The sequence below is a fragment of the Homo sapiens genome, chromosome 19 (assembly GCF_000001405.40).
Source record: "Homo sapiens chromosome 19, GRCh38.p14 Primary Assembly".
In the NCBI taxonomy this organism is placed as follows: domain Eukaryota; kingdom Metazoa; phylum Chordata; class Mammalia; order Primates; family Hominidae; genus Homo; species Homo sapiens.
In genome coordinates this window covers 30365578-30379357 of record NC_000019.10, presented here as the reverse complement: position 1 = coordinate 30379357, position 13780 = coordinate 30365578, and the positions used below count along the sequence as shown (strand labels likewise).

Sequence of the window (13780 nt, the reverse complement as noted above, 5' to 3'; positions counted from 1 at the left end):
ACCACATCACTGTCATCATGCCGGGCAGCACAGAGCTCAGGCTGGCTTCTCTTTCTTATCCTCACCGGGAGCTCCCAACACAGAGGCCATTCAGGAAGTGGCCAGGACCAACTGGACCCTCACAAACAAAAGTGGGAGAGGGATGCCTTACTCAAACCTTCCCACGGTATTGTCAGGAAAGCTCTAGTCAGGAGAATACACAAACTTCAAAACAAATCACATTTGGGACATAAAAATAATAACCATCACCTCCATATTTCAAACAATATTTGACCGAGGTTTTCAAGGTGACGGCACATGTGTTATTTCCAACTGCCCATCTTCAGGACCAAAGCATTGGACAGGGCTGGAGCTATCACCCCCTCCCCACACTCCTTATGCCTGGGACTCTGGGAAATCCAGACCCCTGTCAACATCCTTTGGGAGAGACAAGACACAGGCCCACACCTTTGTCCCTCCAGCACTGGCACAGCGTTTTGCACACAGGAGGCCCTCAGGGGGTCAAAACTTGAAGTGAACAACTTCGGGAGGTCCAGAACAGAGACAAGCCATCTCCCACCTTGTTAAGGGGCACTCAAGGTTTCATGCTTTTCTTTCCTGTAAGAAAGTTCACCAGTTTTTGTTCCTGTCCCACTCCTTTAGAGCAAAAGGGACCTCGGCTGGAGCAATGCAGGAGATGGAAAGAAGACAATGAAGGGCAGAGACCTCAAGGGAGATGCAGTTGGGTCTAAGGCAGAACTTTCAAGAGCAGCCAGGATGTTCCCATTATCTCAGATGGAGCCAAACCACCCCGATTCAGCACCACTAGCATGTGTGGGAAGACCCAAATGTGGCAGGAGTTCGAGACCAACCTGGCCAACCTGGCAAAACCCCATCTCTGCTAAAAATATAAAAATTAGCCAGACATGGTGGCTCACATCCGTAATCCCATTACTTTGGGAGGCCAAGGCAGGCAGATCACCTGAGGTCAGGAGTTGAAGACCAGACTAGCCAACATGGCAAAACCCTATTTCTACTAAAAATACAAAAATTAGCCAGGCATGGTGGCTCATGCCTGTAGTCCCAGCTACTTGAGAGGCTGAGGCACAAGAATGGCTTGAACCACGGAGGCAGTTTGCAGTGAGCCAAGATTGTGCCACTTCACTCCAGCCTGGGTGACTGAGTGAAAATTTGTCTTTAAAAAAACATAAAAAGTAGACCCAAACTTGGTTAGGGCATCCAGGCTGGGGCGACTAAGAAGCCTCCACTCATTGCCAAGTCCATTTTGGCATTAGGGAAGACAGCACAGGGACTCTCAGACCATGTTGAGACCATCAGCAAGGCCAAATCACTTGTTCAGGGGCACAAGATTTGAGGAGACAGGGTTGAAATTAGACTCCCAGCAGCTGGAGAGGGTGGCCTTGGGAGCCTATTGGGCAACAAAGAATCCACCCAACTGTCAGAGGCAGGTGAACCAGAGCAACTCCATCTTGAATAGGAGCTGGGTAAAATGAGGCTGAGACCTGCTGGACTGCATTCCCAGAAAGTGAGGTATTCCTAGCTGCTAGATGTTTATGGTTAAGGGAGCAGATTGATAATGGTTACTCAACAGACCCAGATTTGGGAGTATCCTAATATCCCAATATCTTGAGAACAAAGGCATTCCTAATTTTGCTTTAAAGATAATAAAATCAATTCTTGCAAAATATAGTAATTAAGAAAATTACTCCCTTTTCACAAACCCTTGTAGCAGAGCACATCTCCCCATGATCTTTTTTATCCTATATATACGAGCATTGGACCTAGGGTGGACTCATTCCTTTTCTTACTTTCCTGAACGCCCTACTCTGTCTACGAGTAGCCGTACTTTCACCACTTTACTTTCTTAATAAACTTGCTTTTGCTTTGAACTGCGGACTCGCCCTGAATTCTTTCTTACACAAGATCCAGGAAGCCTCTCTTGGGGTCTGGATCGGTACCTCTTTCCCGTAACATCATTCTGGCGACCACAGAAGCGACTATAGTGTGGAAACCCCTGGCCCAAAGGCTAACTTTGGGTGAGTGGTGGGGTCCTGTAACACAATGAGTTCTGTGAGCGCGGCCCACACGGGTAACATCCAGGACTCCCACCACATCCCGAGGCTCTGAGACCAGAGGGGCTGCCAGCTTTCCCGAGAACCTGAGCCAGGCTCCTGCCCTCATGAGGCCTTCAGTCTAGTGGGCAAGTCTGGAGACAGTTGTCCCCTTTCTTTCTCCTTCACATCTTTGCCCCAGTGTCAGGCCACGTTGGCTCTCTCGATGACAGAGAAGCTCCATCCCCTTCCAGGGTCCCCATGTCAGGATGGCCCTGTCCCTAGCCCAGCATGCCTGCCAGCCTCCCCTGATGGACTATGAGCCCACAGGGCAGCCAAGTAGCAGAGGCCTGCAAACACCTGTTGGCCATCTGCCCCGTACCCACTGTGCACACAGAACCAGCCAGATGCTGGGCGCAGCAATGAACCCGAAGGTAAGGTCCTAGCCTGGGGGTGGGGTCGGGGCAGGGGGAGGCACATGTGCTTTAATGGGGGAGCCAGGCGGCAGTCAAGGGAGTCAACTGGACAATGTGAGTGACTGAATGGGAATACTGGCTGGGTAGTGTCAGGGAGGATGTGCTGAAGAGGGAACCCACACCATGGAGCTGAGAGTCACAGGAAAAAAGTGCCTCCAGGCAGGAAACAACCCATGCAAAGGCCCTGAGCTCACTGACACTCCCACCACAGCTCACTCCCACCACAGCTGCTTCCCACTCTTCTTCAGACCCTGGCCCATTCTGTTTCTGAAAGTGAGCAGATGCCCTGCCCAGACCCACGGAGTATCCAGTGGGTGCTATCTGTGTGAAATTGACAGGTGCTGCACCACCCTGGGTCTGTGAGGGCTCTGGTGGCTGTTCCCAGCCTCATTATCTGGTATAAGTAGTGGGAGGCAGGGGGCTGGGGTGGAGCAAATGGCAAGGCACCTCTATGCTCAGGTCAGAGACACCATCGCCCTCTGCGGGGTGGAACAGGGCCAGCCGACAAAGGCAAATACACCAGGGCAAAGACACAGATGGAGGTCAAGAGCCACCATCACCATCACCCTCAACAAAGGCGTGTATAGGGATTGGGGGAGAGGGGATGCCAAGGTATGGACCAGGGAGACTGGGCACTGGAAATTTCCTCAGGGACAACTGCCTGGCAAAGAAACCTTGGTACCCATGGAGCCACTAGAGGACAAGGGGTTGAGGGAGAGGGCGCTACAGCAGCTGTCCCCACCCTCAAGACATCAAGCACACACATGGGCATACACTCACATGGAGTGGGCACCCGCGCACACTCATTCACACACTCATCACCCATGCAGATATACACATGGCTCTCACAGACGCTACCCATGCACACAAACCTCAAACACACGTGCACAGGCACATGAGCACACACAGTCACACTAATGCACATCTACACGTATCCCTAACACACACACGCACACACACGCGCCTACACACACACACGCATACAAGTGCAGATAGCACCCACATACGGGTACTCACCACCCACATTCCTGTAAGCACTCAAATACGGACACACAGGCACACGAGGTGCAAACACGAACACAACATGTGATCACACACGCATCTATTTGGGCCCACACACGTGCCACGCCGGCACATTCCAGCCTGCACTCGCCCATCTCCAGGCACACGCCATGTACACTCATGCCCATATGCGCACAAGCGGACACCTGCCCCTACCCCCACACAGGCACTCACACCCCAAGTCCCGGGACCTCCCACACCCCGGGCCGCAGCGCACTGTGCGAGTGGAGGGGGTGAGCTCCCCAGCAGAGGCGCAAGGAGGGTGTAGGGTGCGCGGTGTGGCTGTGGGCTGCGGACAGGGGCCGGGGGCGCGCCCGGGTCGGTGCCGCGTGGTGGGAGCAGCAGGCGCGCAGGTAGCGGGGAGCCCCCGCGCACCCAGCCCGCGGGTGATTACTATGCGGCGGCAGCTGTCTCCGGCGCGGTGACGGCGCCTCTAATTGATCTCATTATCTCCCCTCCGTAAGGTGAAGTGCGGCCGCTCGCGGGGCCCGGGCGCGGGCAGGGCCGGCTGGCAGCCGCGGGCCGGCGGGGGCAGCGCTCGGCCTCGGGGTGGCACTACCGCCGGGCGCCGCGCCAACGAACGCAGGCGGCGGGAGGCTCGGCGGCGGGGCTCGCGTTCCTGCACCGCGACCGCGCCAGAAAACACCCCGGGGCTGGGCGGCGTCTCGGAGACGCATTCCTTTGTTACTCCCACCGTCTTTGGTAACGATTATTAATGCCATCATGTCCCATTTCCCCTCACCTTCCCCCGCTCCCAGAGCCGCGCCCGCGCGCCCGATCTCCAGGCGCTTCGCTCCTCCTGGAACCAACAACAATGATCCTCAATTAACCCTCTGCCAGGGCTGCCTGCTCGTGAATGGGGCGCTCTTCCGGCTCGCGGGCGGCAGGCGCCCCAGCCCGGGCGGGGGGCCAGTCTCCGCTCCCCCGGCCGGACCCGCGGGGGCTCGCAATCCGCCCGGGCGCCGGCTGGGGGTGGCCTCGCAGCTCCCCCGGCCTCCCTCCAGGATGAAACTCGCCCTCTCTGGAGGAGAGAGGGCAGAGACGGTCCGAGAAGTTGCAGGAGGGAAAGAAAAAAAAACAACACTCAGTTTGTTGTGTTTTCCTTGGGTTTGTTTTCTTGCCAAAAAATTACCCCCTTTGTCTTTGCGCAAAAGAGGCAATCCGGGCACCTTCTGGTGGGCACCGAGGCGGTGCCAAGGCGCCTTTCTTCAGGGCGGTTTCTATTCCTTTTCTAGCCTCACCAGATATATTTTTAACATTAAAAAAAAACACTATATTTAATTGGTTATGGATCTCTGTTCTCTTAGCACTACTGGATATCACAGAAAAACACATTAGTACAGAGCAATTAGTGCAATGGCAGTAAACAACTAAGGCACTATTAAGCTGTGGGTGATTAAATAGTATTACTTTATATTTTTTACGGTGCTAGACTAAAAGATGGAGATTTAAGATATATATATTTCCATTAATATTAATATAAAATATAAATAACAGGTGTCTTCCACTTCTTCTTAAGGTGCAATTTATACCCAGCACTTCAACCTATAGAGAACTACTTTTCTTATTGAAAAAAAAACTCTTTCTTTATACACTCCAGGGCAATATTTCTTATCTTCATGCACCCGGATATTTAAGCAGAAATATTATTTAATTGGAGTTACGGACTCAGGCGAAATAATGCCCATACCTATATCACCATTAAAAAATAATAATAATAAAGCTTCCATCCCATTGAAATACGCTCTATCGTTTCTATCTTTGCAAAGAGCGAATCGGGCATTATGTGGTGAATTGACTGCAGGCCCGGAAAACAGGCGGGCGGCGGGTGGGCTGCGGCCCTGGGGCTGGGGCCGGGCCGCGTGCACCTTGCTGAGGCCCACCTTGGCCCCGGCTCCCACTGCAGCTCAGGCCGCTCCTCCTCCGTGTGTGTAGATCATCCTGGAATTCTGGCACATCTTTCCTCGGCATCTGATTAAGTTAACAATGTGCTGCTATTTGCATGCAGATTTGCCGGGGCTTTCTCTCCAGCTGCTCCCAGAGACTTGGTCTTTCTCTGCGTTGTGATAGCACAGCAGTCCCTAAATGCAATCTTTGTCAGACCCAGGTGTGCTCTCATTGAGGACGCCTTCGTTCCAAGCAATTTTTCTTTCTGTAGCATTTATAAGGCTCTATTATAGTATAGCCACATCTGGAGGAAAATTCTCCTATTAATTATATACTTTTACCACTAGGAAGACACATTCTAAAAGATACCAACATTTTTGTTGTTGTTGTTCTTATTTCTTTGACAGGCTGCATTTTATTTTATTTTGTTTTGTTTTTCCAGGCATTTCAATATTTAAAGAGCCATTAACCAAGGGGTGGGGGGTGTGAATTTCTAGGAAAAAAAAAAGAACAACAGAACTAAAATCTCAGTGTCAGCCCTGCCTTACCTCACAGGGACAAGTCAGGGGAAAGGTGCCAACTGAGAACTCTCAGAAGACCTCCAGGCTGGACAAGGGATTCAGGATGAGGGCCTGGCCAGTGGGGAAGAGTTCCGTTCTACTGGAGTTTAAAAAAAGGTCGGGGGGAAGAAAAGCACAAGTGCTATTAACTTTTAACCTAGTCTTCTCCCAGGTGGACATTCAAGCATGTCACCAAATCGCCAGACAATTTGATTTCTCTAACGTCAAAAAGCAGAACCCAATTGGATCAGCATGGTGATCCCGATGCGGAGTTTTCTTTGTGTGGTATGGTAATTTTTCAATTAGGTTGGAGACAGATTAAAAGCAAAATTTGGAGCTCAGAATTCATGCTCATCTTTCAGAAAGAGACAAGAATCTTTGCCCAGGGAGTCTGAAAGTTACTTTAGAAGCAGGTGGGTTGTTTTGTTTGGTTGGTTGGTGTTTTTGCTTTGTTTTCAAATCTTTTGGTACAGTCAGATTAGATGGGGGGGGCGGGTGATGGAGAGAATTAATGTAGGAATTATAGGAAAAGTTTTAACCATCGGATGGTCCCTTTCTAAATTATAATAAATTTAAAGGGCTATAATTTTTTATTCAAAAATTATTTTGCAAAAGGGTGTGTACTTCGTGAACAAGAATCCATGCATGAGTATGTGCGTGTCTGCATGTGGGTGGGTGCATGTGTGGGTGTTCTATGCTGGGGAGACTGCACGCACACACACTTGCACACACTCACACACTCACACACAAAGAAAGCTGAATTACCTTGAGAACAGGGAAAATGGAAATGGAACCATTTTCACTTTTCAAGACAAACTTCATCAGGTAAAAATCCAAGCAAGGTTTTGGTCACTTGAGTCCAGATCCTATGATGACAACGTGGAAACTCTCTTCTCCAGACTCACCTCCCCTGTTCCAAAGCTGGCCTCAGCAAAATCCCAGGGCCGTGTCCCGGCAGTACCAGGGGCGGCTCCCAGCAGGCCACGTGTGAGCAGCAAAATCACACAAGAGAGGCCTTTCTGAGTCCTGCCTCTGAAGGCTGGAGTCACTGCTCCCAGCTACTAACTGCCTCTGCTCACTGGTGCTAACCCCTTTCCCTCAAAATGACCAATTGTTTTCACTCTCTCTGTACAGAGGCCAGAAAGGCCCTGCAATTAGGGCCCATCTTTGGACCATGCCTCAGCCTCAGTTTTGTCAGCTCTGAAATGGGAAGAGCCAATCCCATCCTAAGTACATGCATGAAAGACTGTCAACCCAGTTCTAAATAGAAATGATAAATAAGGGTAAATTTTACTCTGATTCTTTTTTCTTAGGTCTCATTTCCTCCAAGCCTTGGTGCTGAAATTAACTGCCCTTCTTTTACCTTACGAAAACAAGCAGCGGATTCTAGTTTCATGACACTTAAGGAAGAATCTATGCAAAAAGGTGGCAGATATTAAATGCATAGATTCTTCAATGTATATATATTCTCTCTTTATATATATACACACACACATATATATGCATATATATATATATATTCTCTATATATGCATTTAAACATATAATGCAAAAAGAAATAATTTATTTTCTAATTTGACTCTTTTGGGGCCGCTGCCTTTTCCATCTCCTGCTGGCTGGCAATGCCCCCTCCTTTCCCCTACAGATATCCAGATACCCTCCTGCAAAAATACAGCAGGGAGGCAGATGCAGTGATACTAGATTACATCACTGGATAGCATGTGGCATTGAGGGGAGAGAAAAAAAAAACAAAAAAAAAAAAACAAGAAAAGACAAATGACATTTTGCTGCTATGGTGTGCTATTTTAGTGGTGATGGCTTGACTTTTGGCCCAAACGCATATGCCAATGGCAAGGCTAACTCCAGGGACTCACAAAAAAGAATGTGTGTTCACAGCTGTACTGTACACCAATACAGATTACATGTTTTCAGTGTTGCGGCCACAACAGAATGCTAATTAACATACTGGAGTGATGAGAGCGGCTGCAAAGGCCTTATTGTTCCATTATTTCATGAAGCCCAGCTGCCTTTGTTTATGTCACTTATCCTCTCGTGCCACAGGTTTTTACTCCAAAAATACTATCCCAATACAGCGTTAATATTTAAAAAACAAAGAGGTGGCAGATTGTCATTTTTGTGTCAGTCTCAAACTGCAGAACTGTTAAGCTGTTCTGGTTCGGTATTTAGAAATAATTTAACAGCCATATTCAGACACTGCCTGCATTCTAACATAATGGCTGAATACTTGAACCAAGCAAATGCATAACTATCCTGACATCACTTATGAGATTTAGATTGGTCAGTTAATGGAAGTCTTTACCACAATCAATACCATAACAGCTTCTTGAAATGAACGTGATTTTTTACACGGAGTGCTGCAAACAATAACTACAGAAACATACTACCTTTGTACCCAGCACAAAGAAGCTAAAATGCAAAATTAAGAAGCAATTACGTTTTTGCAAACTAATATTACAGTTGATTATTAAAAACAAACACTTCCAAAAATACGTACTTATCATTTAATAATTGGAGGGCATTAATATCCCCCGTACCTGATTAATCATTTTTTTACACTTTTTAATAGCTGTTTCACCTACTGGCTACATTATCAGCTTGCTGTTAAGTATTGATATTGATGATTGATGTAATAATGATTAAATAAAAAGCCATATTTAGAGCTTGATTTTTATAACATTCTTTGTCATAATCTTCATTCAAGAGAACACTGTCTGCTGTTTAAATTAGTTTTTTTCCCCTCTGTTTTGCCTGGATTGTGCATAAAAGTGACATTCTATAAAATACAGGTTTCCTCAAATAGTGTTCCGCCAGCAATCCATACATTCTACAGTAATTTGCAATCATGGTCAGGGGAGGTTGTTGGCTCAAGTTCAAAATGTTTATGGCGCATTGGTTCCCCAAAGAACAAAAACACCCTGGGGTTTTAGTTCAAATTTCCCTAAATGCACCTTTATTGACATCAGGTACAATAGTTGGGGAAATACGTAATACCCCAGCACAGACGCCATTCAACCAGAGTCATAAATTAAGTTAGAAAAGGTCTCCCCTAAAAAGTATAGCACTCCACTAATCAAAGCCACGCTGTCGCCATTGCTACAGAACACAGAAATCTTCCCAACAGCCAATTGAGTGAACAAGCCATAGTTGCTTTTTAACGAGTTTAACTGGTAATCTCAGATAAATGGAGAACTGTTTGAAGTGTCTGCCTTCTCTAAGGCAGTAATGAGAGGATTTACAGCATTCTGCATCCCAAACTGCGTATAACCAAGAGAATGCCACAGGTGTGTCACCATCCACGTTAGAGTGCTTTCTCAGCGATGGCCATCCCCCCACTGTGGACACAACATATATTTTTTTTAATTGGATCCAGGAGCTAGCTAAATTATCCAACTGCTCTGTGCTTAAACCCCCAGCTAGCTTATGTACCAATAATAATAAACTTTCCATAATAACAGCCCAGCCTATTACTGTTTTTTTTTCTCTTAATCTAAAAGTGGAAACACTTTATTCTGATTGCAGCCACTGAAGAAACTCCTGAGTTGGTTTCCTTCTAAAAAAAAATTGCTCAAGAATTACAGAACAGACCCAGGTTAACAATATTCAATTATGCACACATGTATTTTCAGAGGAGAACCTGCTTATCTTATGGTACAGGGAGAAAATAATGTCATAATTCATCCCTTTGCAATTTGTGGAAGAATTTTGTCTTTTCCTTTACAATTTTTATTTGCCAGGTCAAAGCAACAGCCAGTCAAAAACCACACCCCGGGACAGTGACAGCAACATCTAGACTGCACAATCGCAGACGGGTCGGACTCAATTGACACAGCTTCAGTGTGATCCTCCACATTTAATGCATTCATGTTTCATTTGCAAAAAGAAAATCCGAGCCCTGTGCTACCATTCTGGTTTTCAGAAAAGTGTTACATTTATAAATAAGAGATCAAAATCCTTGAGTGGGCAGAAATAGTATCATCAAACCAAATACATGTTTCCACCATTTGGACATATTTTTAACAATCTTAATCCCACTTAAACTTTGCGAAAACTCTATTGAAAATTTAACCTTGTGCTCTTGAAGCTGAAACTGATAAAACTTAATAGCAACAAGGCAGTGAAACACTAATAAACTCATTATAGATCACATAAATGGGATGTCTGCGTGGCTGCCAGACAGTGCACATAAGCACCTCAGTTCCAAAGAGCAAAGGCAAGCAAGGTAGTGTGGCGTCTGCGTGGACAGTTGGAGGGAGACGAGTTGGTAACACTTCACAACAAGTTTGCTAAATTTACTGGATCAGTCAGTTCATTTAGAAATTTCAGATGCTAATTATAGGTGGGCTACAGACAAGCTGGTATAAAGAATGAGTTTTCCTGAGGCCTGAGAGCCACATCAGGGTCTACGTTTGCAAAATGGCTCCTGAGTCCTCAAAGCCCTTTCCATGTGATAATCCTTCACCAAGCAAGCGGAGCAGCTGAAGACTCAGCCTCCACCAGTCCCCTCCCTTGGACCCGGTGAGATTCTCCGCTGTCGAATCCATGGAATCCTCCCTACAGTTGGTTTGTACCAGAGGCCACACCTTGAGGTCTGCTCGCTGAATTCCACCAACTCATAACTTGTGTGGCTCACATGGCAATTTAAGCAAAGATATGTAAGGGTCATCAACGTGTTGAGTTTCATGTAAAAATAGAGATTCCTGCTTTTGCTTGAAAAATCCAAAGCTCTAGCAACATTAAACCCACATTCCCCATGGACAGCCACCAGGGTGCCTTCTCCAGGTGGTCACAACCTCAGACACTGATGGAAATGCTGTTGCCCTCGCAGGCACATCAGCAGGACGTCCGTGTGACTTCAGTTGCAAAGGGCAAAGGCAAGCGAGGTAGTGAGGTTTCTGTGTAGACAGATGGAGGGAGAGGATTTGGTGACACTTCACATTTGGCAACTAGAGTTTTGCAGCCGTAGTGTGCACCATTCAGAGAATGCTGATGAGAGGAAAGATATGGTCAAAAGAAGATACGCTAAGGAGAAGCTGGAGGATGGACTGGAAGAACACGACTTGTGTTTCGGGCCCCACCCCACCACGTTTCAATCAACATGTAGCTGCTGCAGCCAGCTCTGCCCTCCATGAGTCTCTCCTTGCAGAGAGTGGGGGAGTATATGCTTCTTCCTTGTCATCACAAGAAGAATCTGGGAACCCAGGAGGGACAGGAGTAGGAGGGAGGGACAGAGGCTCTGCCCTTCAGTGGCTCAAAGTCTAGGTGGGGAGACCAGGCATGAAGTTCAGACGACCAGAACCAAGGCACAGGGTGGGAGATGGTGGTCCAGCTGTGCAATGGATACTTTAACAAGTATGAGAAAATGCTGTGCTTAGCCTTGGAGAGCCCACAGCAAAACCGACATGGGAAGGTGCAGGAGGAAGGACTGGGACACAGGAAGAAGGAAAAGGAGAAGAGAGAGATCGAGGTGGTAGGCAAGACGGTGAAGTGCAAGGCTCTACTCATCGGTGTCATTCCCTGTGATCTGTGAGGCCAGGAGCCAAGATCAGAGAGCGCTCGCCCCTCAGCTACTCCAGACTCTCATGTCTCACTGCGCTGCTGTCACGCGACCAGCATCACCAGCACTTCCCAGGGGCTAAAGGTGAGCAGCTCAGGCTCCACCCCAGACTTCCTGAATCAAATGGGCATTGAAGGCTCTGATCTATCCAGCTGGTAGAGAAAGCCAAAGGGATCGCTCCAGCTCCCCGCACTCCACATCCACATGCCCTGGGCTTTGCCATGCATGGGGCGTGCAGGTGTGAATTGCAAAGGAGTCTAAAGGGACTCCAGGTGCATTTCTAGCCAAGACAGATACCCAGTCCATCCACCTCAATGGTGTTTTTAGGCCATCAATAAATATGGCTTTGGTAGTCAGATGATGTGTAATTAGCATTAAACTCTTTTATTTCATGTAAGTTAGAGCCTTGTCTGAGACACTTCATTCAGGAAGTAACCTGGCACTCAAGATTAAAATGAAATATTAGCATGTCAGCGGTGGCCTCACCACGGCACGCTCCCCTCCCACCCTCCAACCCTGCAAGGGAACAGCACGGAACGTCCCAAGCACCCCAGCAGAAGGGATGTGGCGGAGGGTCTTTCAGAGGTGAGAGGTCAGACTTTCTTCCATGGAAAAGGGGCCACTGCCCCTAGCAAGTGAGAAATGGAAAAACTGACCCTTGTCGAAGTTGAAACCAAATAAGTGTCATCCTTTTATTGCATTTTCTTTCTGCTCCTCAAACTCATCCAGGCTGTCACTGCCCTGGGGCCTTTACACCTGCTGTGTCCTCTGTCCAGGTGCTGCCATCTCCATGGGACTCAGTGTCTCCTCCCCAGAGGGCCTTCCCTTATCACACAGTCTCAGCCAGCCCTCAGTCCCTCAGCTTCAGATCCCCCTGTTTGAACACTTGGTGTGGCATTTGCCCTAACAAATGGTGTTCTAGCTTCTTCCTATAGAATAGTATTTATGTATTTATTGCCTGACTCCTCCAACTGGAATGTCAGCTACAAGAGGGCAGGGACTGTGGCTATTTTGTTCTCTGCTACATTCTCAGGGCCAAAAACAGTACCTGGCTCATCAAGTAGGATGAAAGAGAAGAGAGGGAGTGGAAAGGGAAAATAGGGGATAGATGGATAGATGATAGATAGATAGATAGATAGATAGATAGATAGATAGATAGATAGACAAATGATAGATCTAGAGAGGAAGAAAGGTAAATAGATCTATCTGTATATAGAGAGATGCTAAATACATAGATAGATTGACAGATAAGATGATAGATCTAGAGAGAAAAGGAAGGGAAGGAGAGAAGGAGAAAGGAAGAAATGAATAAAGGAAGGAAGGAAAGAAGGAAGGAAGGAGATAGATATAGATAGATAGATAGATAGATAGATAGATAGATAGAGATATGATAGGTAGATAATAGACAGATAGACAGACTGACAGCTAGCTCAATTGATCAGGCACTTTGCCTGACACGGAAGAACATGGTGCCCACTCTCAAGAGTCTTGCAATTTAGAAGGGAAAGTGACAGAGCCAGAAAGCATTGCCCAGCAGCCGCTCACAGTGTTGTCAGATATGACCAGAGCGGCATATGATTAAATGGCAATTAGGGATTCAAAGGGAAGGACCATGAAGACAGAGGAGAACTTACTGTGGGCTGGAGGAGTTCACGTGGGGCTTCCTCAGGGGTTCGGCGGGGGTGACTTCCTTGCACTAGATTCCAAGAACCCAGCTAGATATGAAAATCCCAAACAGTGCCCCAAAGTTGCACAGAGATCACCAGACACATAGCAAGATTTCAGATGATACATAGAGAAACTCCTATTTTTTTTAAAAAATGAAGGCTTATATAATTATTCTGATGTTTCATATGAAAAATATATAACTGGCAAATTCAACCAGAGATTTCGTAGCTATTATTATCCAGGACAAAGCTAAATATAATATGTTATGGGAAAAAGTGTGCCTACTTAAAAACTATTAAAGTCCACAAGCAGGTGGTTCTCACTCTGGAAAAACTCCAAAATTAGGTGTGGGAATGCTGGAAGTGGCCAGCTTAGAGCTAAGGAGTCAGTCCTCTCATTCCCCGCAGAAGCAGAGCCTCACAGGGAGTGCCTGGGAAGGTTACCTCCACGGGAGTCCTTGCTACACGGGACCTGGTGGTCAGCTGGGTTGTCTGAAGCAGA

General features: G+C 47.2%; 1 protein-coding gene across 46 annotated transcripts in view, besides 2 other annotated features; it reads right to left on the bottom strand.

The window, feature by feature from the left end:
- ZNF536 (zinc finger protein 536) overlaps positions 1–13780 on the bottom strand; it is a 487995-nt gene that overhangs the window by 334229 nt on the left and 139986 nt on the right. For 4 of the 46 annotated variants that reach the window (XM_011527557.3, NM_001352260.2, XM_011527560.3 and 1 more), the window contains exon 1: positions 6802–6974. The exons of the other annotated variants lie outside the window; for them this stretch is intronic. The gene's annotated coding sequence lies outside the window, so the exon portion shown is untranslated. Of the gene's footprint in view, positions 1–6801; positions 6975–13780 lie in introns of those variants that run through there. 46 annotated transcript variants of the gene reach the window in all.
- Positions 3761–4261: an enhancer, noted in NCBI's record as "H3K4me1 hESC enhancer chr19:30866004-30866504 (GRCh37/hg19 assembly coordinates)". NCBI's record gives its function as "activates a minimal SCP1, AML or CMV promoter by ChIP-STARR-seq in primed H9 embryonic stem cells {active_cell/tissue: H9 hESC(primed)}" and the evidence as "EXISTENCE:reporter gene assay evidence [ECO:0000049][PMID:30033119]".
- Positions 5429–5930: an enhancer, noted in NCBI's record as "OCT4-NANOG-H3K4me1 hESC enhancer chr19:30864335-30864836 (GRCh37/hg19 assembly coordinates)". NCBI's record gives its function as "activates a minimal SCP1, AML or CMV promoter by ChIP-STARR-seq in primed H9 embryonic stem cells {active_cell/tissue: H9 hESC(primed)}" and the evidence as "EXISTENCE:reporter gene assay evidence [ECO:0000049][PMID:30033119]".